Raw genomic sequence first — 23,464 nt, forward strand, 5'->3', positions numbered from 1 at the left:
GTGTAAAGATTAAAAAACAAACAAACAAAAAATGGGGTTGGGCACAGTGACTCTGCCTGTAATCTCAGCACTTCGGGAGGCCAAGGTGGCAGGATCACTTGAGGTCAAGAGTTCGAGACCAGCCTAACCAACATGGTGAAACCTCATCTCTACTAAAAATACAAAACTTAGCCGGTCAGGGTGGCATGCGCCTATAATCTCAGCTGCTCTGAGGCTGAGGCAGGAGAATCGCTTGAACCCAGGAGGTGGAGGCTGAAGTGAGCTGAGATCATGCCACTGCACTCCAGCCTGGGCAACAAAGCAAGATTCTGTCTCAAAAAAAAAAAAAAAGATAAAAAATGGCACACTTCTATAGGACACTTACCATGAATGGAGCTTGCAGGACTGGAGGTTGCCCTAGGTAAGTCTGTGAGTGAGTGATGGGTGAATGTGAAAGCCTTGGATATTATTCTACACCACTATAGACTTTATAAACACTGTACACTTAGCCTACACTAAATTTATATTTAAAATTTCTTTTCCTAATAATAAATTAACCTTAGCTTATTGTAACTTTTTTACTTTATAAACTTTAAAAATTTTTTAAACTTTTTTACTGTTTTGTAGCAACACGTAGCTTAAGACACAAACTCACTGTACAGCTGTATAAAAACCCTCTGCTGAGGGTGTCAGGGTCTCATGAAGCTGCAGTCAAGGTGTCAGTAGGGATGTCGTCTCATCCAAGGCTTGACTGAGGAAGGATACACCTGGAAGTGCATGTGGTCACTGGGCAGCACGCCATTCCTTGCAGAATGCCAGACTGAGGGCTCAGTTTCTTGCTGGCTGTGAGTGGGAGGTTGCCCTCTGTTCCTTGTCCTTTCCATGTGGCAGCTCACAACATGGCAGCTTGCTTCTTTAAAGCCAGGTGAAGAGCCAGTGTCCCCTAGCAAGACAGACGTGCCCTCTCAGGGGGAGGGGATCACACAAAGGTGGATTACCTGGGGTCTACCTTCACATCTGTCCACCATGCTCCCAATGGTAAGAAGCATTTATTGTAGTACCTCAGTTAGTCAAATATTTCCTTCCTCCAAAAGCAGAGGAAACTAGAACTCCCTTCCAGTTTGTTCATCCATACACAGTGATTTGTCAGGTAATGAATGTTCCTGATTAGCTTTAGCACTGGTGTATTTCAACCAAATCAATTTTTAAACAAAAGACAAAGGCCAGTAACATTAAAAGAGAAGTTGAACAGAACTTTAACTGGGAACACTAAAAACTTAAATGTATGTATTTAGTAGGTACATATTAAATGTCATTATGGTAATATTCAGATCTGGTGTTTTCTCAGTTACTGCATTAAAAAACTTAAGTGCTCATTTGTAAATGGTGTTCTATTGACAATACTGCTTACTACTGGTAGGCCTAGCAGTAAAGCTGCTCTCCATACTTTCAATAAATCCTCAATCTCCTTTTCCTATTTCTCCTGGTACCCACAGACCTTGTATTAGTCCATTTTCATGCTGCTGATAAAGACATACCCAAGACCGAGCAATTTACAAAAAAAAAAAAAAGGTTTATTGGACTTAGAGTTCTACATGGCTAAGGAGGCCTCACAATCATGGCAGAAGGCAAGGAGGAGCAAGTCACATCTTACATGGATGGCAGCAGGCAAAGAGAGAGCTTGTGCAGGGAAACTCCCATTTTTAAAACCATCAGATCCATGAGACATATTCACTATCACAAGAACAGCACAGGAAAGAGACTCCCCCATGATTCAATTGCCTCCCACCAGGTCCCTCCCACAACATACGGGAATTGGAGATGAGATTTGGGTGGGGACACAGCCAAACCATATCAGACATAAGCAGTGTATTGATACGGATCAGGTTCATTTATTCATTCATTCATGTATAAAACAAATACCTACTGAGCACTTACCCGTGCACTGACTGTGCTGGTGTTTCAGTAGTAAATGAAACATGGCCTCCAAATAACATTCAGTCCAGACAGATGAGGAAACGCTGCACAATAAACTCCACTGAGGAATTTGCTATGGAAATACATAAATTAAGGGCCGAGAGAACTTGATATCCAAGTGGCACGCTCCTTAGAAAACAAATTATAGGAGAAGTACAGGCCAGATATTGAGAGTTAATCAAGTAGAAAGAAAATAAAACCTCAAGGAAGGATGTGTCCCTTAGATGGTAATAGAATACAGAGACAAACAGAGGCTTGAGAACTGAGGCTTTAGAAAAATCTAAATAGAAGATGGGAAGAAAAATAACCCACAAATTTTAAGTAGCTGCAGTGTTGGCAAGCTGTGAAGTAAAGTCTCACTCTTCAAATGGCAATATCAGTTTTCAGATACTAGCTATTTCTATACTGACATAAATAATGGAATACAAGTAAAATATTCATAAAAAATTCATAGTAAAATTTGCATACAATGAAAAACTCTAGATGAAGTAAGATAATATTTAAGGTGGGAACAAAGTAAAAATTATCACCTAAAGTCACAGACCCAGGTGAGAAATGCATATTAATGTTGACTGTTTTATTAATGCATGTAGTTAAATATAATAGTATTCAGTGTTGGTTTGTAGAAACAAATCACTGCATGTGTTACTGGTTCACAAGAAAACACTGTAACACATCTATAAAGAAGAAATTCAATAATCTAAAATGCAGTGGAATCTGGGGCTTCATGTGGGTTTTAGAATATTTAGAGCAAAACAAAATCTAGAGCACTTTATCCTATATAGTAAATAAATAAATATATCAAAGTATAACAATAATTTTGCAAATAAAATAAAAAAGCTTTTAGGTAAAGATTGTTTCTTATCGTATATTTGGCCCTTTTCTAAAATTTTCTTTCTTTTTTTTTTTTTTTCTTTGAGGCAGTCTCGCTCTGTCACCCAAGCTGGAATGTGGCACAATCTCGGCTCACTACAACCTCCTATTCCCAGGTTCAAAGGGAAGCTACTCAACCTCCCAAGTAGCTGGGACTACAGACATGCACCACCACACCTGGCTAATTTTTTGTATTTTTGGTAGAGAAGGGGTTTCACCAGGTTGACCAGGCTGATGTCGAACTCCTGGCCTCATGTGATTCGCTTGCCTTAGCCTCCAAAAGTGCTGGGATTACAAGCATGAGCCACTGCACCTGACCTAAAATTTTCCCTTGTGCATTCTCAAAATTGCAAGTTCTCTACCTGGAAAATTTGGAGGAATGAAAACCCCTCAGCAAAAGACCCTCATTGCATTGGAGGGTGATGTGTGGATTTAAAATGGCAATATTCCAAGCACATTTTGTATATGTACTTCTTAATTGTGTGATTACATGATTTCTCCCTGAATAAATCTTGTTTTGATGAAAGATTAAGTCAGAGCACCTGCAAGCTTCATTGCTCCTCCCCCTTTCTCAGCTCCCATCTTTATCACCTGTTTGGAGAATGTGTCAACATTCCCTAATTGAGAAGTAATTTGCAGTTACTGAAATCCATTTTATATTAAAAAGCCTCTTCAATATGCACAACTTACCCTAGAGAGCTGTTTTACTTGGAGGCATTTCTTAGATTTAAGTTCTAATAAAACTAAGTGTGTTTTAGGAAATAACTTTATAGCTTTTTTTCCCCTATTTTAAAATACAAGGAACATAAAAGTAAAGAAGAGATGAAGTTAAGCCTGTTAAATATAAGAAACTACTTATTTTGTTTGTTATTCCCTTAAGATGTCGTTTGGAGTTTTAAAGATATCATTGTACTACAAATAAAAAATATTACAGATATCTATTTACTCTTCAGAAAGTAAAAATAAGTAGTGGGTAGGAGTTCTTCATCTGTTTTTAGTTATAAAATGCTGAACTATTGAATAATGAAAGTGTTTTAAACAACACTAAAAATGCATCTGTATTTTTCCCTGAATGCAAAACAGTAATATTTAAATTCACCTTCCTACTAGGGATGTTTCAGTTCTTATGACTACCAGGCAGTTTTGTTTTTCATCTTGAATTGTGAATTGTCTTCACCTATATTACAATTAGTTTTTTCTTTTTTTCTTTAATTTCGGCTTTTATTTTTGATACAGGGGGTATGTATGGAGGACTGTTATATGGGTGTATATTGCACCCAGACAGTGAGCAGAGTACCCAATAGGTAGTTTTTCAACCCACATTCTTCTCCTTTCCCCCTATAGTACACAGTGTCTATTGTTCTCATGTTTATGTCCATGTGTGCTCAATGTTTAGCTCCCACTTATAAGTGAGAATATGTGATATTTGGTTTTCTGTTCCTGTATTAATTTGCTTAGGATATGATCTCCAGCTGCATCCATGTTGCTGCAAAGGACATTATTTCATTCTTTTTTTATGGCTGTATAATATTCCCTGGTGTATTTGTACCACGTTTTCTCTAGCCAGGCCCCCACTAATGAGCACCTAGGTTGATTCCATGTCTCTGCTATTGTGAATAGCACAGTGATGAACGTACGAGTGCATGTGTCTTTTTGCTATAGTGATCTATTTCCCTTTGAGTATATACCCAGTAATGATATTTTTGGGTCACATGGTAACTCTGTTTTAAGTTCTTCCAATTACATTTTTCATTCAAAGTTGCAGAGCACTCTCTCAACATGCTGAGTGAAGGCTTGCCCTCCCCGTGGATGAATGAAGTACTGAATATCCCAAAGCATTGAATCACTTCTCTTGATTTTAAGATTCTGTTTCATTGGTGCCCTTGTTTTTATCATTTTGTTTTTTACTCTGTTCTTTTTTCTTTTCTTTCCCTTTTTAGCTTTATCATTTAATATTGACCTAATTCATTTGTGTGATTATCTTTCCCTGAATAGATCTTTTCTTTGTTTTTTTAAATAAATGCGATTAAAGCTTTAAATATAGCTCTAATTACCACATTAGCTTAATTCTACATGTTTTATAGTGCTTTCATTGTTGTTTAGTTCTAAATATTTTATGCTACAATTGGATTTTCTTGTGTTACTTAGGAGTATGTTTCTTTCAGTTTCTAAAAATGTGTGGGAGGGGTTTTTATTTCTGTTTTTAACTAGGTTTTCTTGTTGATTTTTAATTTAATTACATTATGGTCAGAGATCAGGGATTACTTAATATGAATTACTTAAAATTTATTGAGATTTCTGTTATGATCTAGTGTTAAATCAATGTACAGTTGCCATTTTCTTGAGTACAAGTCTCTACACGTTTGTGTATTACATCAAGCTTGTCAATGGGATTGTTTAAATTCATGACCTTAAAAATATTTTGTTTTCATGATCTATTAGTTTTTGATGGTATGTTAAAAATCTCTCCTTATTATTGTGGATCTGTCCGTTTATCATTGTAATTCTGTTAGTTTTTGCTTTAGATATATATATGGTTCTGATGTCAGGGATATATGAGATAATAATTTGAACATCCTGTTAGATTATAATTTTTGTCATTACACTATATAATATGTCCCTCTATACTATTTGTTATTTTACCTTCAGTTTTAATTTATCTATTATTAATATTGAGATTATAAATTTTCTTTTGGTAAGAATTTTCTTAGTAAATATTTTTCATACTTTTATTTTCAGCTTTTGCTGTTTGGGGTGTGTCTTCTAAAAATGACAGATAAAGAAAGAGATGTACTATGTTTCTGCTGCTCACAATTTTTTAGTCTTTGTCATTAGATAAGAAAGCTTATTCCTTTCATATTTATTGAGATTACTAATTTGGACTTACATTGCCATCTTAATTTGTGTCATCTTTTTAAGCATGCTCTTCTTCAATTTTCTTTCATTTTCTCATTATTTGGATTAGTGAAGCTTTCTTTAATCCCCTTCTTTTGTTTAGTGATTTGGAAGCTTATAGTTATATCTTTCTTACTATTTGAAACAGTTACTTTTTCTAACAAAGTTTAAAATTATTTAGTACATATATCTTTCCCCGATCAAAATCAGGACTTTAACATACATGTTAAAACTTCACTACTTCCTCATTTGCAGAGCCGATAGTTTATTAAATTCACCATCATGTCCTCACTTTCTGTGCTCACTGTTGTTTCATGCATACCACCCTTACCTCTAGGTTCATTTTCTTTCTTTATTTTTATTTTATTTTATTATTATTATTTTGAGACACTGTCTTGCTCTGTCACCCAGGCTGGAGTGCAGTGGTGCAATCTCGGTTCACTGCAACCTCTGCCTCCCTGGTTCAAGTGATTCCCCTGACTCGGCCTCCCAAGTAGCTGGCATTACAGGCACCTGCCACCACACCCGGCTATTTTCTTGTATTTTTAGTAGAGATGGGGTTTCACCATGTTGGCCAAGCTGGTCTGAACTCCTGACCTCAAGTGATCTGCCAGCCTCGGCCTCCCAAAGTGCTGGGATTACAGGCATGAGCCACCGCACCCAGCCTGGGTTCATTTTCTTTCTTGCTGAGGAATATCCTGTAGATGTTTTCAGTGATTAATTACTTTTAGTGAATGATTGATTTAGTGAATGAGTGTTTACCTGGATATAGAATTCTAAGTTGACAGTTGCTTCTTCAAAACACTAAGAAAAAATAGTTTTTCATTTACTTGGATTTATTATGATTCCTTAAAGTGGGATTTGCCTTTTCTGTCTCCTGCTTTCTAAATTTTCTCTACATTTCTGCTGCTCAGTTTCACTAGGATGTGTTTAGGTATACATTGATTTGTTCTTTCCCTTGGCGACACATGGGATTGTTTTTATTCTGTATTTGGAAGTCTAGCAGACATCTCAAAACTGAACTTCTAATTTTCTATTCCAAATCCACTCCACTCACTGTTGTGCTAGTTTTAAGTAATGGCAATTTGATCTTTTCAGTTGCTCAGAAAAAAATTTTGAAGTCTTCCTTCCATCATCTTTTGTCTCCCACACCCCACATTCAATCCATAGGGAATATTGGTTCTGTTTTCAAAATGAACCCAGAATCCAGATGCATTTCATTACACCCACTGCTACCAACCTGGTCTAAGCCACTATCATTTCTAGTCTGGATTATTCCTGTAGTCTCTCCTGGTCTCTTTGCTTCTAATGTTGTCTCCTCTGTTCTCTACTCAGAAGCCACAGTGATTTTTAAAACAAAAGCCAGATCATGTTATTACTTTGTTCGAAACTGTCATTGCAACCTTATCGCACTCGTAGTAAAAGCTAAAGTATTTTTTATTATTTTTATTTTATTATACTTTAAGTTCTGGGATACATGTGCAGAATGTGCAGGTTTGTTACATAGGTATATACATGCCATGGTGGTTTGCTGCACCCATAAACCCGTCATCTACATTAGGTATTTATCCTAATGCTATCCCTCCCCTAGGCCCCCAAACCACCCCCCAACAGGCCCCAGTGTGTGATGTTCCCCTCTCTATGTCCATGTATTCTCATTGTTCAACTCCCACTTATGAGTGAGAACATGTGGTGTTTGGTTTTCCGTTCCTGTGTGAATTTGCTGAGGATGATGGTTTCCAGCTTCATCCATGTCCCTGGAAAGGACATGAACTAATCCTTTTTTATGGCTGCATAGTATTCCATGGTGTATATGTGCCACATCTTCTTTATCCAGTCTATCATTGATGTACATTTGGCTTGGTTCCAAGTCTTTGCTATTGTGAAGAGTGCTGCAATAAACATAAGTGTGCATGTGTCTTTATAGCAGCATGATTTCTAATCCTTTGGGTATATATCCAGTAATGGGATTGCTGGGTCAGTTGGTATTTCTGGTTCTAGATCCTTGAAGAATCACCACAGTGTCTTCCACAATGTTTGAACTAATTTACATGCCCAACAACAGTGTAACAGCATTCCCATGTTTCCACAACCTCTCCAGCATCAGTTGTTTCCTGACTTTTTAATGATCGCCATTCTAACTGGCATGAGATAGTTTCTCATTGTGGTTTTGATTTGCATTTCTTTAATGACCAGTGATGATGAGTTTTCTTCCATATGTTTGTTGGCCGCATAAATGTCTTCTTTTGAGAAATGTCTGTTCATATCCTTTGCCCACTTTTTGATGGGATCATTTGTTTTTTCTTGTAAATTTGTTTAAGATCTTTGTAGATTCTGGATGTTAGCCCTTTGTCAGATGGATAGATTGCAAAAGTTTTCTCCCATTCTGTAGGTTGCCTGTTCACTCTGCTGAGAGTTTCTTTCGCTGTGCAGAAACTCTTTAGTTTAATTAGATCCCATTTGTCAATTTTGGCTTTTGTTGCCATTGCTTTTGGTGTTTTAGTCATGAAGTCTTTGCCCATGCCTATGTCCTGAATGGTATTGCCGAGGTTTTCTTCTAGGGTTTTTATGGTGTTAGGTCTTACATTTAAGTCTTTAATCCATCTTGAGTTAATTTTTGTATGAAGTGTAAGGAAGGGGCCCAGTTTAAGTTTTCTGCATATGGCTAGCCAGTTTTCCCAACACCATTTATTAAGTAGGGAATCCTTTCTCCATTGCTTGTTTTTGTAAGATATGTCAGAGATCAGATAGTTGTAGATGTGTGGCATTATTTCTGAGGCCTCGGTTCTGTTCCATTGGTCTATATATCTGTTTTGGTACCAGTACCATGCTGCTTTGGTTACTGTAGCCTTGTAGTATAGTTTGAAGTCAGGTAGTGTGATGCCTCCAGCTTTGTTCTTTTTGCTTAGGATTGTCTTGGCTATACAAGTTCTTTTTTGGTTCTATATGAAATTTAAAGTAGTTTTTTAAAAATTCTTTGAAGTCAGTGGTAGCTTGATGGGGATAGCATTGAATCTATAAATTACTTTGGACAGTATGGCCATTTTTATGATATTGATTCTTCCTATCCGTGAGCATGGAATGCTTTTCCATTTGTTTGTGTCCTCTCTTATTTCCTTGAGCAGTGATTTGCAGTTCTCCTTGAAGAGGTCCTTCACATCCCTTGTAAGTTGGATTCCTAGGTATTTTATTCTCTTCGTAGCAATTGTGAATGGGAGTTCACTCATGATTTGGCTCTCTGTTTGTCTGTGACTGATGTATAGGAATGCTTATGATTTTTGCACATTGATTTTATATCCTGAGACTTTGCTGAAGTTGCTTATCAGCTTAAGGAGATTTTGGGCTGAGACGATGGAGTTTTCTAAATATACAATCAAATCATGTCATCTACAAACAGAGACAATTTGACTTCCTGTCTTCCTATTTGAATACGCTTTATTTCTTTCTCTTGCCTTATTGCCCTGGCCAGAACTTCCAATACAATGTTGAATAGGAGTGGTGAGAGAGGGCATCCTTGTCTTGTGCTGGTTTTCAAAGGGAATGCTTCCAGCTTTTTCTATTCAGTATGCTATTGGCTGTGGGTTTATCATAAATAGCTCTTATTATTTTGAGATACGTTTTATCAACACCTAGTTTATTTAGCATTTTTAGCATGAAGGGATGTTTTGTCAAAGGCCTCTTCTGCATCTATTGAGATAATCATGTGTTTTTTGTCATTCGTTCTGTTTATGTGATGGATTACATTTATTGATTTGCGTATGTTGAACCAGCCTTGCATCCCACGGATGCAGCCGACTTGATCGTTGTGGATAAGATTTTTGATGTGCTGCTGGATTCGGTTTGCCAGTATTTATTGAGGATTTTTGCATCTATGTTCATCAGGTCTATTGGCCTGAAATTTTCTTTTTTTGTGGTGTCTCTGCCAGGTTTTGGTATCAGGATGATGTTGGCCTCATAAAATGAGTTAGGGAGGAGTCCCTCTTTTTCTATTGTTTGGAATAATTTCATAAGGAATGGTACCAGCTCCTCTCTGTACCTCTGGTAGAATTCGGCTCTGAATCTGTCTGGTCCTGGGCTGTTTTTTGGTTGGTAGGCTATTAATTACTGCCTCTATTTCAGAACTTGTTATTGGTCTATTCAGGGATTCGACTTCTTCCTGGTTTAGTCTTGGGAGGATGTATGTGTACAGGAATTTATCTATTTCTTCCAGATTTTCTAGTTTATTTGGATAGAGGTGTTTATAGTATTCTCTGATAGTAGTTCGTATTTCTGTAGGATCAGTGGTAATATCCCCTTTATCATTTTTTATCGTGTCTATTTGATTCTTCTCTCTTCTCTTCTTTATTAGTCTGGTAGTGGTCTATTTTGTTAATCTTTTCAAAAAACCAGCTCCTGGATTCATTTATTTTTTGAAGGGTTTTTCATTTATCTTTCTCCTTCAGTTCTGCTCTGGTCTTAGTTATTTCTTGTTTTCTGCTAGCTTTTGAATTTGTTTGCTCTTGCTTCTCTAGTTCTTTTAATTGTGATGTTAGGGTGTCGATTTTAGATCTTTCCTGCTTTCTCCTGTAGGCATTTAGTGCTATAAATTTCCCTCTACACACTGCTTTAGCTGTGTCCCAGAGATTCTGGTGTGTTGTGTCTTTTTTTCTCATTGGTTTCAAATAACTTATTTATTTCTGCCTTAATTTCGTTATTTACCCAGTAGTCATTCAGGAGCAGGTTGTTCAGTTTCCATGTAGTTGTGCGGTTTTGAGTAAGTTTCTTAATCCTGAGTTCTAATTTGATTGCACTGTGTTCTGAGAGACAGTTTGTTGTGATTTCTGTTCTTTTACATTTGCTGAGGAGTGTTTTACTTCCAATTATGTGGTCAATTTTAGAATAGGTGCAATGTGGTGCTGAGAAGAATGTATATTCTGCTGATTTGGGGTGTAGAGTTCTGCAGATATCTATTAGGTCTGCTTTGTCCAGAGCTGAGTTCAAGTCCTGAATATCCTTGTTAATATTCTGTCTCGTTGATCTGTCCAATATTGACAGTGGGGTGTTAAAGTCTCCCACTATTATTGCATGGGAGTCTAAGTCTCTTTGTAGGTCTCTAAGAACTTGCTTTATAAATCAGGGTGCTCCTATATTTTGTGCATATATATTTAGGATAGTTAATTCTTCTTGTTGCATCGATCCCTTTACCATTATGTAATGGCCTTCTTTGTCTCTTTTGATCTTTGTTGGTTTAAAGTCTGTTTTATCAGAGACTAGGATTGCAACCCCTGCTTTTTTTTTTCTTTCTTTCCATTTGCTTGGTAAATATTCCTCCATCCCTTTATTTTGAGCCTATGTGTATCTTTGCACACTGATAAGTCTTGGCTCTTTATCCAACTTGCCAATCTGTGTCTTTTAATTGGGGCATTTAGTCTGTTTACATTTAAGGTTAATATTGTTATGTGTGAATTTGATCCTGTCATTATGATGCTAGCTAGTTATATAGCCTGTTAGTTGATGCAGTTTGTTCATAGTGTCGATGGACTTTACAATTTGGTATGTTTTTGCAGTGGCTGGTACCAGTTTTTCCTTTCCATATTTAGTACTTCCTTCAGGAACTCTTGTAAGGCAGGCTGGTAGTGATATTTCTCAGCATTTGCTTGTCTGTAAAGGATTTTATTTCTCCTTTGCTTATGAAGCTTAGTTTGGTTGGATATGAAATTCTGGGTTGAAAATTCTTTTAAGAATGTTGAATATTGGCCCCCACTGTCCTCTGGCTTGTAGGGTTTATGCAGAGAGATCCGCTGTTAGTCTGATGGGCTTCTTTTTGTGGGTAACCCAACCTTTCTCTCTGGCTGCCCTTAACATTTTCCCTTCATTTCAACCCTAGTGAATCTGATAATTATGTGTCTTGGGGTTGCTCTTCTCGAGGAGTGTCTTTGTGGTGTTCTCTGTATTTCCCGAATTTGAATGTTGGCGTGTCTTGTTAGGTTGGGAGAGTTCCCCTGGATAATATCCTGAAGAGTGTTTTCCAACTTGGTTTCACTCTCCCCGTCACTTTCAGGTAGACCATTCAAACGTAGGTTTGGTCTTTTCACATAGTCCTATATTTCTTGGAGGCTTTGTTCATTCCCTTTTATTCTTTTTTTTCTAATCTTGGTCTTCATGCTTTGTTTCATTATGTTGATCCTCAATCTCTGATATCCTTTCTTCTGCCTGATCAATTCGACTATTGATACTTGTGTATCTTCATGAAGTTCTTGTGCTGTGTTTTTGAGCTCCATCAGGTCATTTATGTTCTTCTCTAAACTGGTGATTCTAGTTAGCAATTCCTCTAACCTTTTTTCCAGGTTCTTAGCTTCCTTGCATTGGGTTAGAACATGCTCCTTTAGCTCAGAGGAGTTTATTACCCACCTTTTGAAGCCTACTTCTATCAATTCATCAAACTCATTCTCCATCCATTTTTGTTCCCTTGCTGGCGAGGAGTTCTGATTCTTTGGAGGAGAAGAAGGCCAAGGCCTTTTTTTTTTTTTGAAATGGAGTCTCGCTCTGCAGCCCAGGCTGGAGTACAGTGGCACGATCTCGACTCACTGCAACCTCCACCTCCCAGTTCCAGGTTCAAGCAATTCTCCTGCCTCAGCCTCCCGAGTAGCTGGGATTACAGGAATGCGCCACCATGCCCAGCTAATTTTTGTATTTTTAGTAGAGATGGGGTTCCACCACGTTGGTCAGGCTGGTCTTGAACTCCTGACATCATGATCCGCCTGCCTCAGCAGCCTCCCAAAGTGCTGAGATTACAGGTCTGAACCACTGCACCTGGCCCAAAGTCTTTATAGTTAACTGCAAGGTCCTATGTGGTTATAATCTCCTTCTCCTCATCTTTACCTCTCTTATTCTATGTACTCCAACCACACCATTTCCCCTGGATTCCTCAAACATATGCCATGCTCCTGTCTTTATATTAACTGGTCTTTCTTCTTGGAACACCTCTCCCCCAGATAGCCATATGGTTAACTCCATTACCTCCTTTGTGTTTTTGCTTAAACATTATCTTCTCAGTGAGGACAACTGTGAACACCACATGCCAGTCCAATCTCTCTTACTCTTCTGAATTTCATAGCACTTTTCATCTTCTAAATTGTTATAAAGTTTACTGATTTATTATGTTTACTGCTTATTTTCTGTCATTCCATTAGAAGGGAAGCTCTATGAGTGCAGGTGTTTTTGTATTTTGTATAATTCTGTCTCCTAAGTACCTAGAACAAAGACTGGTAAAAAGGAGATGCATAATAAATATTTGTTGAGTGGTGAACCAATCAATGAGTTATTATTAATATAGAACTAGCATATATGTAACACAATATAGACCCAAAGTCTTTTCATGGAGCAGGAATACAGTGAAATACAGTTACATCCCAAATGCCCATTAACTGGTAAACAGATAAACAAACTTTTGTATAGCCATACAATGGAAGGCAACCTAGAACAAAAAGGAACAAAATACAGATACACAGAGCAACATGGATGAATATCAAAAACATATGAAACAAGCCAGATTAAAAAAAACTGTACATAATATTATTCCATTTGTAAGAAATTTTAGATAAATCAAAAGTATGGACATGGAAAGCAGGTTGGCAGTTCCCTAATGCCAAGGGTGGTACAGGGATGTGAAACAGGAATTAACTGCAAAAGGACATGATGGAATACCTTAGGGATCTCAAAGTTTTCTGACACTTGAGTGTGCTGTTGGTTGGACTACATGTTTATTAAAACTTATTGAACTGTTTGCTTTAAATGGGTACATTTTAGGGTCCATAACTTATTCTTCAAAAAGCTGCAAGCAAGCCTGGGCAATATAGTGAGACCCTATCTCTACAAAAAAAAAAAAAATTACAAATAATTAGCTGGGCATGGTGGCAGGCACCCATAGTCCCAGCTACTCTGGAGGCTGAGGTGGGAGGATTGCTTGAGCCCAGGAGTTCAAGGCTACAGTAAGCAATGATTATACCACTGCACTCCAGCCTGGGCCACAGAGCAAGACGCTGTCTCAAAAACAAAAAACAAACAAAAAAAGCTGCAAGCAATAAACAAACAAATACAGTTAATTCTGACCACCTACTATTAGAATTTAATCTTTCTTTAATTCAGGAAGCACTTCACAATCTTAGGGCACCTTCAGAATGAATGAGCACCTCTGTGTGGCAAAAATGTGGATTTAGTAATTTGCTAAAGTTCAGAGCCTTCTCTGTACTAACCTACTGGGCATCCCTAGCACTTGGAGGAACAAACTTCTTCTTTTTTATTTTTATTTTTATTTATTTATTTCTTTTTGAGACAGAGTCTCACTCTGTTGCCCAGGCTGGAATGCAATGGCTCAACCTCAGCTCATTGCAACCTCCGCCTCCCAGGTTCAAGTGATTCTCCGGCCTCAGCCTCCCAAGTAGCTGAGATTACAGGAGTGCACCACCACGCCTGGCTAATTTTTGTATTTTTAGTAGAGACAGGGTTTCACCATGTTGGCCAGGCTGGTCTCAAGCTCCTGACCTCAGGTGATCCGCCCACCTCGGCCTCCCAAAGTGCTGGGATTACAGGCATGAGTCACCACTCCCAGCTGGAGGAACAAACTTCTCTTCCTCCACTGTTAGGATCATGTATTTGTAGGCTGCAACACCCACCCTCCACCGTACCCATACTATGACCTCCGCCACAGGAGAGTCCATACCTCACTTATCCTTATGCCCATGTGCTAGAGGTACCACGCCCATGGGAAGTCCTCAGTCAATTCTAGGTGAATGAGTAGATGATTATTTCAGAGGGGCATACAAAAGAAAATTTACAGTCACAGACAGACTCGATATTCTCTTGCTATGGAGTCAACATTCTATATTATTACCAAAATTTTACATGTATTCCCAGATTTTTTTTTTTGTCCATACTTGGAAGTTACCATTAAGGAGATAACATAAATGCTTATTTTTAATTTATCATCTATGTATTCAGTACCCTCTATTTGCCAGGCAAATTTTGTTAGTTTCTAGGGATGGATGTGATGGTTAACAAAACAAAGATTTGGGCCTTACTGGAAGCAATTATTTTGTGTAAATTGGGCAGTCATATAAAAGATGTCTTTAAGGACTGTTCTCTTTAGATTTTGGTCAATAAATTAAAGATTATTCATTTTATAGCAGTTTTTAGAGTTTTAATACTATGGATGAGTACTTTGTTTTGCTTATGAAATGAAGTAGAGCAAAATTACAGACGCTTTTCCTCCCAGGGTAGGGAGAATGTCTTTGGAAAAGGAAATTCCAGCACCACCCCTTGAGGTCTTTATTTTCCAGCATAAATCTTCCAACTGTGGGGCTCACTCACTAAGCAAGCACACGTGAGCCACACCCCGCCTCTGCAGAGACTCACGCAGGGTGAGGCAGAGGCAAGGTATTTTGTTAATCCTTTTAGCTTGAGCAAGCAGAAGAAGGAAAACTCAGGAAATAAATCACATGAAAATATGAGAACAATAGGAAAGAAAAGCCTGTCTTTCAGGTTTGTTTCCTGTTCTAATACTTGTGGAATGTGGTCTTCTACTGATGCTTAATATAACTAGAATATGCAAAGTTGTAATTCTTTCCTTAACAAAAGTTTTCCTTTATCTGTTAGCATTATCCTGTTCAAACCAGCATCTCTCAGAATTGTTAAAATCTAAGATATAGTAGCCATTTAGTTGCAACTTTACCATAGAGTAACATTTTACAAAGTAAACATTAGTTACATATACAGAGTTTTCACTGAGTTTATATTATCTAGTAAAGCTCCCATTTGCTTTTTATATTTTTCTAAGTAAGCTGACTCTTACAAAATGTAGCCAAGTTTTGAAGACATACAAAGTTTTTAAAAACCAGAAGATCTTCTAGTAAAAACTACCCAAATAGTTAAAACAACTTTTGCATATCGTTTTTAGTATACTATTAGGAAAACTGCTAAGTTTTCATTCATTTCCTTCCCATTAAGAAATAATTTTTCTATTGCTACAATTCCCATTAGCCAAGGAAATGTCACTAATTCACAGGGTGTCTATGGTCAAATCTAGAAATAAGGGTGTAAATTAATGTAATCTTCATCTGCTTGTATATGGCCACTATCAACCACTGTTGCCTCCCAGGTCACTGCTGTTCTGATCAACCATCTCATCTCTTGGGACTCTGCCTAACCCTTCCCTCCCATCATAATTCCTCCACCCCTAACATCTGGTGTCTCAAAATGAATCCTCACACAGCTGGCAGCATCTGGACAAGGCAGAGACCTCCAGGATTAGTATTCATGGCATTTGTGTTCTGAGGAAGGTTCCTTCTTCTTCCTGCTCCAGGCTAGATTTGGCTGCCTAGAAAAATCTGGCAGTAACCTAAGTTATAGGATTTGGTAGTGGTGACTGTAGTAATTGTAAACCATCTTCTCTAAAGGCACCAAGTTGTATGTCTGCCATTTGGACTTTGACCTAGAAAAGAACTTTCTCACAAATGGTCCAGATTGCCAATGTTTAGGCTTTTGTCCGCTTTAACTTTAACCTAATAGATATAGTGGCTTCCATCCAGGAGGAGTGCAAGTGTCACTTTGGGTACCCCAGGTGGGTGAGTCTAAGACTTCCCACATCAGACAAGCCAGTGAAGTCTGTGTTACAGGGTAGAATGCTTGAAAACCTGATAAGTACAACTTTGTGTCATAAAGGCACACTGGCTTTCAGAAGGGGAAATTCTATCTCACTAATTCACTTTCTTTAGTTTCTTTCTGGAAATAAATGAATAAATCACAGTAGTTCTTTCAGAGCTTGAAAAATATTTAGAGTGTTCCATGGAAAAAATCAGTAGATGCCATTAGTCTATATTTTTAGGAAGGCTAAATAGAAGCTATTCCTCAAACTCAGCCATGGTATGATATGATGCGGCATTATTATAACAGAGAAAAGTAGCGGTGTGCTGAAGGCAGTTCACACAGGCTGGTGGGCCAAATTGTTACATTTCAAGGAATTTTGCAAGCTGTTTGATATCAGTTTTGCTAGCTGGTTGAAGGCCTGTAGAATAGGTTATTGTAGGAGTATTTACATCACAGTAAACAAAGCAGTCTGAGGCCCCCTCCTGCCTCCTCACCCCCAGCCCAAACCAGTTAAGCATTTACCAAGATATCACTGGATAAGAGATTGGTTTAGAAATAGAGAACAAAGGGTGGGACCAATGGGATAAATGCTGAAGAATTATAAATAGATAGCTTCCTCAGAGTTAGGTATTGGGTCTAATCCTGTTTAGCATTTTAATAAATTCCCTAGAGAGAGGTAGTATACAGAGAAATGTCCATGCCTTTCAGATGACATTAAATGTTTCCAGAGTTAAACTATAAACCCATGGGATTAACACCCAGAACTCTTAGTAAAACTGTGTGAGTTCTAATAAGGCAAGAGTAAGGCAATTTGGGGGAAAATTATCTTAAAATTCTCTTGTTAGGTGATAATATCTAACCTTTGCGTTACAACCTAGAAATGAAATTTAGAGATTTCTGTAGACGTTTTCTATGTTCATTAGTATAACTTGTTAGCTGTGATAAAAAGGCCACTTAAATGCCAAGTTCCATCAGAAGCTCTAGAAACCAAGAACAAGAACTGTCCCACTCTTAGAAAGAAAACTTAGTGCACACTTCCTGCAGTTTTGGTTGACATGCTTCAAGGATAATGTAATGGAACTGGAAGAGTTTCAGAGAAAATTGCATAACCTGGTTAGGGTATTATAGGAATCCCAGATGAGGCTGAAGATTATATTAACTAGCAAATCATGAAAGGTCTTGAATAAGGTAAATATAGCTGTATTAAGCAATTCCTGAAAAACTGGAACTATAGTGCACCTCCTTGATCTTTGAAATAAGAATTTATAGAAGTAATAGAAATATGCTATTGTTTCTCAAGGAAAAGAAGAAATGATAGCAACCTTAAAGTTTAACTTTTATCAGTATTTAAAAATTATTACAGTTACATATTTTGAATGTGCAAAAGGTACTGTATATTTCCTCTGATCAGTGACCTCCCTTTATCAGAAAGACTGTCAAAAGGAAGAGTGAAACATTCTCCCTCTTAACTTACCTTTAACCACTTTTGTTTGTTTGTTTTTTTCTTACGGCAACTCAAAGCAAAGAGCTGGAGGAGCCAGCCATTATAATTGCTTACTCTCATCGCTTAGCGCCCCAGGTGGGATGTGTTTCCAAAACACATTTTTGTATTTATAAGGAAATGTAGTTAGGATTAATTTTATTGTCCTAATTAGAACTCACATTTTGGTTAAATCCTCAATTTCATTAAAAAAAAAAAAATCAGTGTTTCTTAAGAGTGAATTAGGCAAAGGGAAGAAGACAATGGATCACACTTTTTTAGGGAAAAGATCTTCCTCACAGTGGTGGGTGGGCTATTTGGGTGTGAAAAAACATAGGGCAACTTAATTAACCATGACAAAACAGACAAGTAAGTGCCTTTCAAAAAAATCAAACAAGGCTCTGCACGATCTTAATAATAAAAATTTTAGAAAAAAATGATTTTCATGTTAGTTCAGAGTTGATTGTCTAGGATAAATTAAAAAATGAAAGCTGTGGTAAATGACCTAAATATATTGCACTTTCTGATATTTTTTACATTTTAATGAAATATATGCCTTCAGCAAAGTGCACACATCATTACAGACATCTCAATGAATTTTCATAAAATGAACACATCCAGTAACCACCATCCAATCTAATGCACCATATACAGATGTTCCATATACTGTATATATATATACACACATTATATATATATAGCATGAAGATTACTTATACTAATTAATCATTAACTGTAAATATGAAGAATATTTATTTGTATTCATATTTTTAAGAAGATTGAGATTTAACAGGATATTATAGAAGGGTTTAATTCACCTTTCAAGTTTGTTATAGTTTTTTTCCCCTTTTGTGTATTTTAATCACTTTATTTCACAGTAATTCTTTTGAAATAAAGGAGAGGTCAGCACTCCAGAGTTTTAGGTGGGAGACAGCAAAAAGTATATTTTGTTGATCTCACACGTAGACCTACCATTTAGATTTGTTGTCAAGCCTGATTGAGGCCATTAGTGCCGTTTTTAAAAAATTATATTTGTTAAAAGGAAGATAATTTTTAAAACGAGAAAAAAATGGGCACAAGACATGAGAGTGCCACAATACTGCAAATAGAATGTAAGGAAGGAAATAACTTTTAAGAAACAAATTTTGTTAAATTAAGTACCGTGACTAAATACTTTAATTCCTTTTCTTGTAGCCCGTAAGGATCATTTGACTTTGAACCTTTTAAGTCAAAGAGGAGTAGTCTGAAAGCCTGAACTCCCTACCACCCTGAGGGGGTGCGGGTGCGGCGGGGCCGGCTGGGGGCTTCCCCCACCCCCTGCTCCTGCGCCCTCCCCCCGCTTCCCCCTCCTCCCCTCCCTATCGCCCTCACCCCCCTTCTTCCCCCGTGACCCCTGACCCCAGCTAATCTGCATAGAGGAATGACAGGCATCCGCTGGGCAGGATCCGCCGCGCCGGCTGCGGCCGGCCGGGCTGGGAGACCCGCGCGGGGTAGAAGGTGAGGGGACCCGGCGGGCCGCTCGGCACAGGCCGGGACATGAACGCCTGGAAGTCTGGCTGGGAGCGGACCCATGATCGAAGGACCAAAGGAGCCGCTTGATCGCTGGACCTGGCCCTGCGACCCCAGTCATGGGCCAGACCTCGGTGTCCACGCTGTCCCCGCAGCCCGGCAGCGGTGAGTCCGGGGCGCACGCGATGCGCTCCCGCCGCGCGGGCGCAGGGCTGGCGGCGGGGCCCCGGGGCAGGCAGGGTTAGTCGTCTGGTCGGGTTCCGCTCGGACCCGCCAAGTCCCTCGGAGAAACCCCAGAGGTAGCGCTCGCCAAACTCTTTGTCGTGAAAGAGGAATGCCTTTTGGGATCCAGCCGATTTTACCTTAAAGGCACAGGCTCCATTTTTCTGTGCGCGATGCCTCGCTGTGGTTTTTTATCCAAATTATTTCGGAGCCAGAAACTTACGGGAAACGCCATTTGCGTATTACAGTGTTTTTAAAAACGCGAAACTTAGAGAGCAAGAGAAACATGCCAACAGGTTTTTCTGTATTTACGCTTGGCTTCCGAACAGACTAGGACTGAATGCTTTCAAGCTTGTCAACTGATTTATGGTTTGTTATTCGGAGTAGAAGCGCTGATCGCCTTATCCTGGCAGACGCTGAATACTTAATAACTAGCCCCGAAATGCGTAATTGTTTCAAATGAGACTTGTTTTGTTTATAGTAGATACAGCAGCTATAACATTTAGGGAAACATATCTCATGAACTTAGTTCTCCAGGACTAAAGTTAGTTTTATGGAGACGTGTGTAACGTGTCTGAGTTCTAATGCTCTGTTTTAAAAGTTTCTTTTTTCCATTTTCTTAAACAAAAAGAGGGAAGGAAGGTACGTCTGGCATTTCCCCGACAGTGTAGGGATAAAAAAAAAAAAAACTGTTTGGTGGTGTTACTTGTGATTGGATAAGGAAATAAATTTAAAAGGTACTATTTTGATATTTTTCCATCAACGATTAAAAATAAATAATACTCGAAGGGACCGTTTATGTTACTCATTGAGATATTTGATACACTTTTTAAATTGTGCAAACATCAACAGGATCTTGCTGAAAGGAAATGACAGGGTACAGAGGAAGGTTTTTTAATCTGCCTCAGGATGTCTAGCTAGATAGCATTCTGTCATTCCAACCCCCCACCCCACTTTATACCCAGTGGGTTTCTTTAGGTAGCACAGCTTCACTCCCTGAGATACCACAAGCTTTGCTGAGGTTTCTGTTAATACCACAGAAGACCCTTCTGCAAAGAAGAGACATCAGAATCAGAATATACCTTCTTTACCATTAATGACATGGCTACAGCTCTGAAATCAAAGACCTCATGTTGACAGCTTTTTGAGAGATATTTGCGGGGAGGGGTTGAGTAGGATTTTAAATTTAGTAAACTATTTTGTGCAAATAAGACTTGGTTTCCTTTGTCTTACCTTAAAGTGGTGTGAGACTTCTTTTCATTTCAAGGAAGGGTTATATTTTTACATTTGTGCACCGGCGAAGATAGAATTAAATCTGTACTCCAATACAAGAGTATACAGAAAGTATTGTCCTGAATTTAGTGATTTTATCACAAAATATTACTCGAGTGAATATTAGAAAAGCAAATTTTGCCTTAATAAAAATCAAGGAATATTATATAAATGATGTCTAAGAAGCAAATAAAATCCTAAAGTGAGACTCCCTACGTCTTAGTACAGCAAAAAAACCCGGATTGCTATAATTCCAAATAAAATGACTGATTATAATGAGAAACTGTAATCTACTTAAGTAAAAAGTGTTTTAAACAAAAATTTATGCTTGATCATGAAAGATAATTCAGAGAAATATCTCACGGAACGGTGTTATACTTAAATTGCAGGTCCTCAGTTTTGCGGATTAAAAGTTTGTATGAATTGAAATGACCAATCCATACATCATAAATACAGGGTTTTTTATTTTTCAGTTAAGGAATGACAGTGGTTATGACTTAAGTTGTGGTATTGTAAAAGAACAGTTTTCTCGTGGTATCCAGTGTCTCTAAATCCGTTAGAGCTACCCTGTTTCCCTGAAGGTTTGCCATCAGATTCCAAATGAAAACCAAAAAAAAAAAAATTTAAATTAAATAACGTTTGCTGAGTTTTATATTCATGTCTGTATTTTTCTGAGTCTGAGACTGTCAAACTCTCTACTATTCCAGGTATTTTGTTCACTCCTTGTTAACTGTTTAACTCTGGCTTTACAGATGGCGTGAAGATCCTTGTTCTGTTTGATCTTAGCCATTGACTAGTTGTTTAAGTCTGGAGCAGCTGCTTAGGATTACAGTATTAAAGATGATTCTCATCTTAAATGCTTAGTGGGCGAAAATCTGTTTAAGTCAAAGGAATCAATAGCACAGAGTTTAATTATTCATACTTATCGCTCAATTTGGCCTTTTGTAAAAATCTTCATTATAGGCTAGAAGTTAGCTTGCTTTCCCCGTTTTGACTTTAGGCTCTCTAGAGCCTTTCAGTTTAGGTTGCACCTAATTCTCTGGGTTCTAGGAAGACCATTAATAATTTTTTCTGAAAATATGCAGTTAGATCCATTATTAAAAAGAACAGCTGTATTGATGTATAATTCACATACTATAAAATTCACCCATGGAAAGTGTACAGTTCATTGTTTTTCAGTGTGTTCACAGTGTTGTGTGACCCTCAATCTCTGTTCCCACCCTATTCAACCAGTGGGCTCTACCTTAATGAAACACTAATCAACTTTTCTGTCTCTATAGATTTTCTTATTGAGAACATTTCATGTCAATGGAATCATAATGTGTCATTTTGTGACTGGCTTCTTTCAGTTAGCATAATGTTTTCAAGGGTCATCCATGTTGTAGCATGTATCAGTTGTTCATTTCTTTTTATTGCCAAATAATATTCTACTGTATGAATATGCCACATTTTATTTATCCATTTATCAGTTGATGGACATTTGGGTTATTTCTGCTTTGGGCTATTTATGAATAATGCTGCTCTGAACTTAATGTACAAGTTGTTGTGAAGATATGTTTTCATTTCTCAGGTATATATTTAGTAGTGGAATTGCTAGATTATATGGTAGGTAGTTCTATGTTTAACCTTTTATGGTGTTGCCAAACAGTTTCCAAAGAAGTTAGACCATTTTACATTCCCACCAGCAGTGTATGAAAGTTACAGTTTCTCCACATCCTTACCAACATTTGTTACTGTCTTTTTGATTATAGCCATCTTAGTAGGTGTGAAGTTATATCTCATGGTTTTGATTTCCTTTTCCCTAATTACTAATGACCTTGAGCATCTTTTCATGTGCTATTGGCCATTTGTATATCTTCTTTGGAAAAAATGTCTTCAGATCCTTTGCCTAATTTTAGTTGGATAATTTGACTTCTGTTGGAGTTTTAGTTCTTTGTATACTAGATCCAAATCCCTTGTCAGGTACATGATTTGCAAATATTTTCTGCCATTCTCTGGGTTGTCTTTTCATCTTGGTAGAGTGATTTGCAGCTCAGAATTTTAAAGTTTTGATGATGAGCAGTTTATCAATTTTTTTCTTTTGTTGTTTGTGTTTTTGGTATCACATCTGAGAACTACAGCCTAACCAAGGCAAGAAGACTTACACCTGTGTTTTCTTCCAAGCGTTTTATAATTTTGGCTGTTACATTTAGGTCAGTAATACATTTTGAGTTAATTTTTATGTATGGCGTCATGTAGGGTTTCATTCTTTTACATGTGAATATCCAATTGTTCCAGCACCATTTGTTGAAATGACCGTTCTTTCCCCATTGAATGGTGTTCCACCGTTGCCAAAAATTGATTGACTGTGTACATAAGGGTTTACTTCTGGATTCTCAATTCTGCTCCATTGTCTCTTCTTATGCCAGTTACCACAATGTCTAGATTACTGTAGCTTTGTAGTAAATTTTGAAACCTAGAAGTATGAGTTTTTCAATTTTGTTCCTTTAAAAGTTTCTACTGGTTATTCTGGTTCCCTTACATTTTCATATGAATTTTGCAATCAACCTGTCAATTTCTGCAAAAAAGCCAATTAGAGTTTTGATAGCAATGATATTGAACCTGTAGATCAATTTGGGTAGTACTGCTGTCTTA

General features: G+C 37.7%; 1 protein-coding gene across 8 annotated transcripts in view, besides 3 other annotated features; it reads left to right on the forward strand.

The window, feature by feature from the left end:
* Nucleotides 1-23,464, forward strand: part of PHACTR2 (phosphatase and actin regulator 2) — a 294,308-nt gene that overhangs the window by 121,831 nt on the left and 149,013 nt on the right. For 3 of the 8 annotated variants that reach the window (NR_172205.1, NM_001100164.2, NM_001100165.2), the window contains exon 1: nt 19,257-19,501. The exons of the other annotated variants lie outside the window; for them this stretch is intronic. Coding sequence is in view for 2 of the 3 variants with exons in the window: in NM_001100164.2 (NP_001093634.1) it covers nt 19,456-19,501 (46 nt within the window). In the remaining variant the exon portion in view is untranslated. Of the gene's footprint in view, nt 1-19,256; nt 19,502-23,464 lie in introns of those variants that run through there. 8 annotated transcript variants of the gene reach the window in all.
* Nucleotides 18,601-19,449: an enhancer, noted in NCBI's record as "NANOG-H3K27ac hESC enhancer chr6:143998446-143999294 (GRCh37/hg19 assembly coordinates)". NCBI's record gives its function as "activates a minimal SCP1, AML or CMV promoter by ChIP-STARR-seq in naive and primed H9 embryonic stem cells {active_cell/tissue: H9 hESC(naive and primed)}" and the evidence as "EXISTENCE:reporter gene assay evidence [ECO:0000049][PMID:30033119]".
* Nucleotides 18,601-19,498: a biological region, named in NCBI's record as "NANOG-H3K27ac hESC enhancer GRCh37_chr6:143998446-143999294".
* Nucleotides 19,199-19,498: a silencer, noted in NCBI's record as "silent region_17631". NCBI's record gives its function as "represses an Ori minimal core promoter by ATAC-STARR-seq in GM12878 lymphoblastoid cells {active_cell/tissue: GM12878}" and the evidence as "EXISTENCE:reporter gene assay evidence [ECO:0000049][PMID:35858748]".

The sequence above is a fragment of the Homo sapiens genome, chromosome 6 (assembly GCF_000001405.40).
Source record: "Homo sapiens chromosome 6, GRCh38.p14 Primary Assembly".
In the NCBI taxonomy this organism is placed as follows: domain Eukaryota; kingdom Metazoa; phylum Chordata; class Mammalia; order Primates; family Hominidae; genus Homo; species Homo sapiens.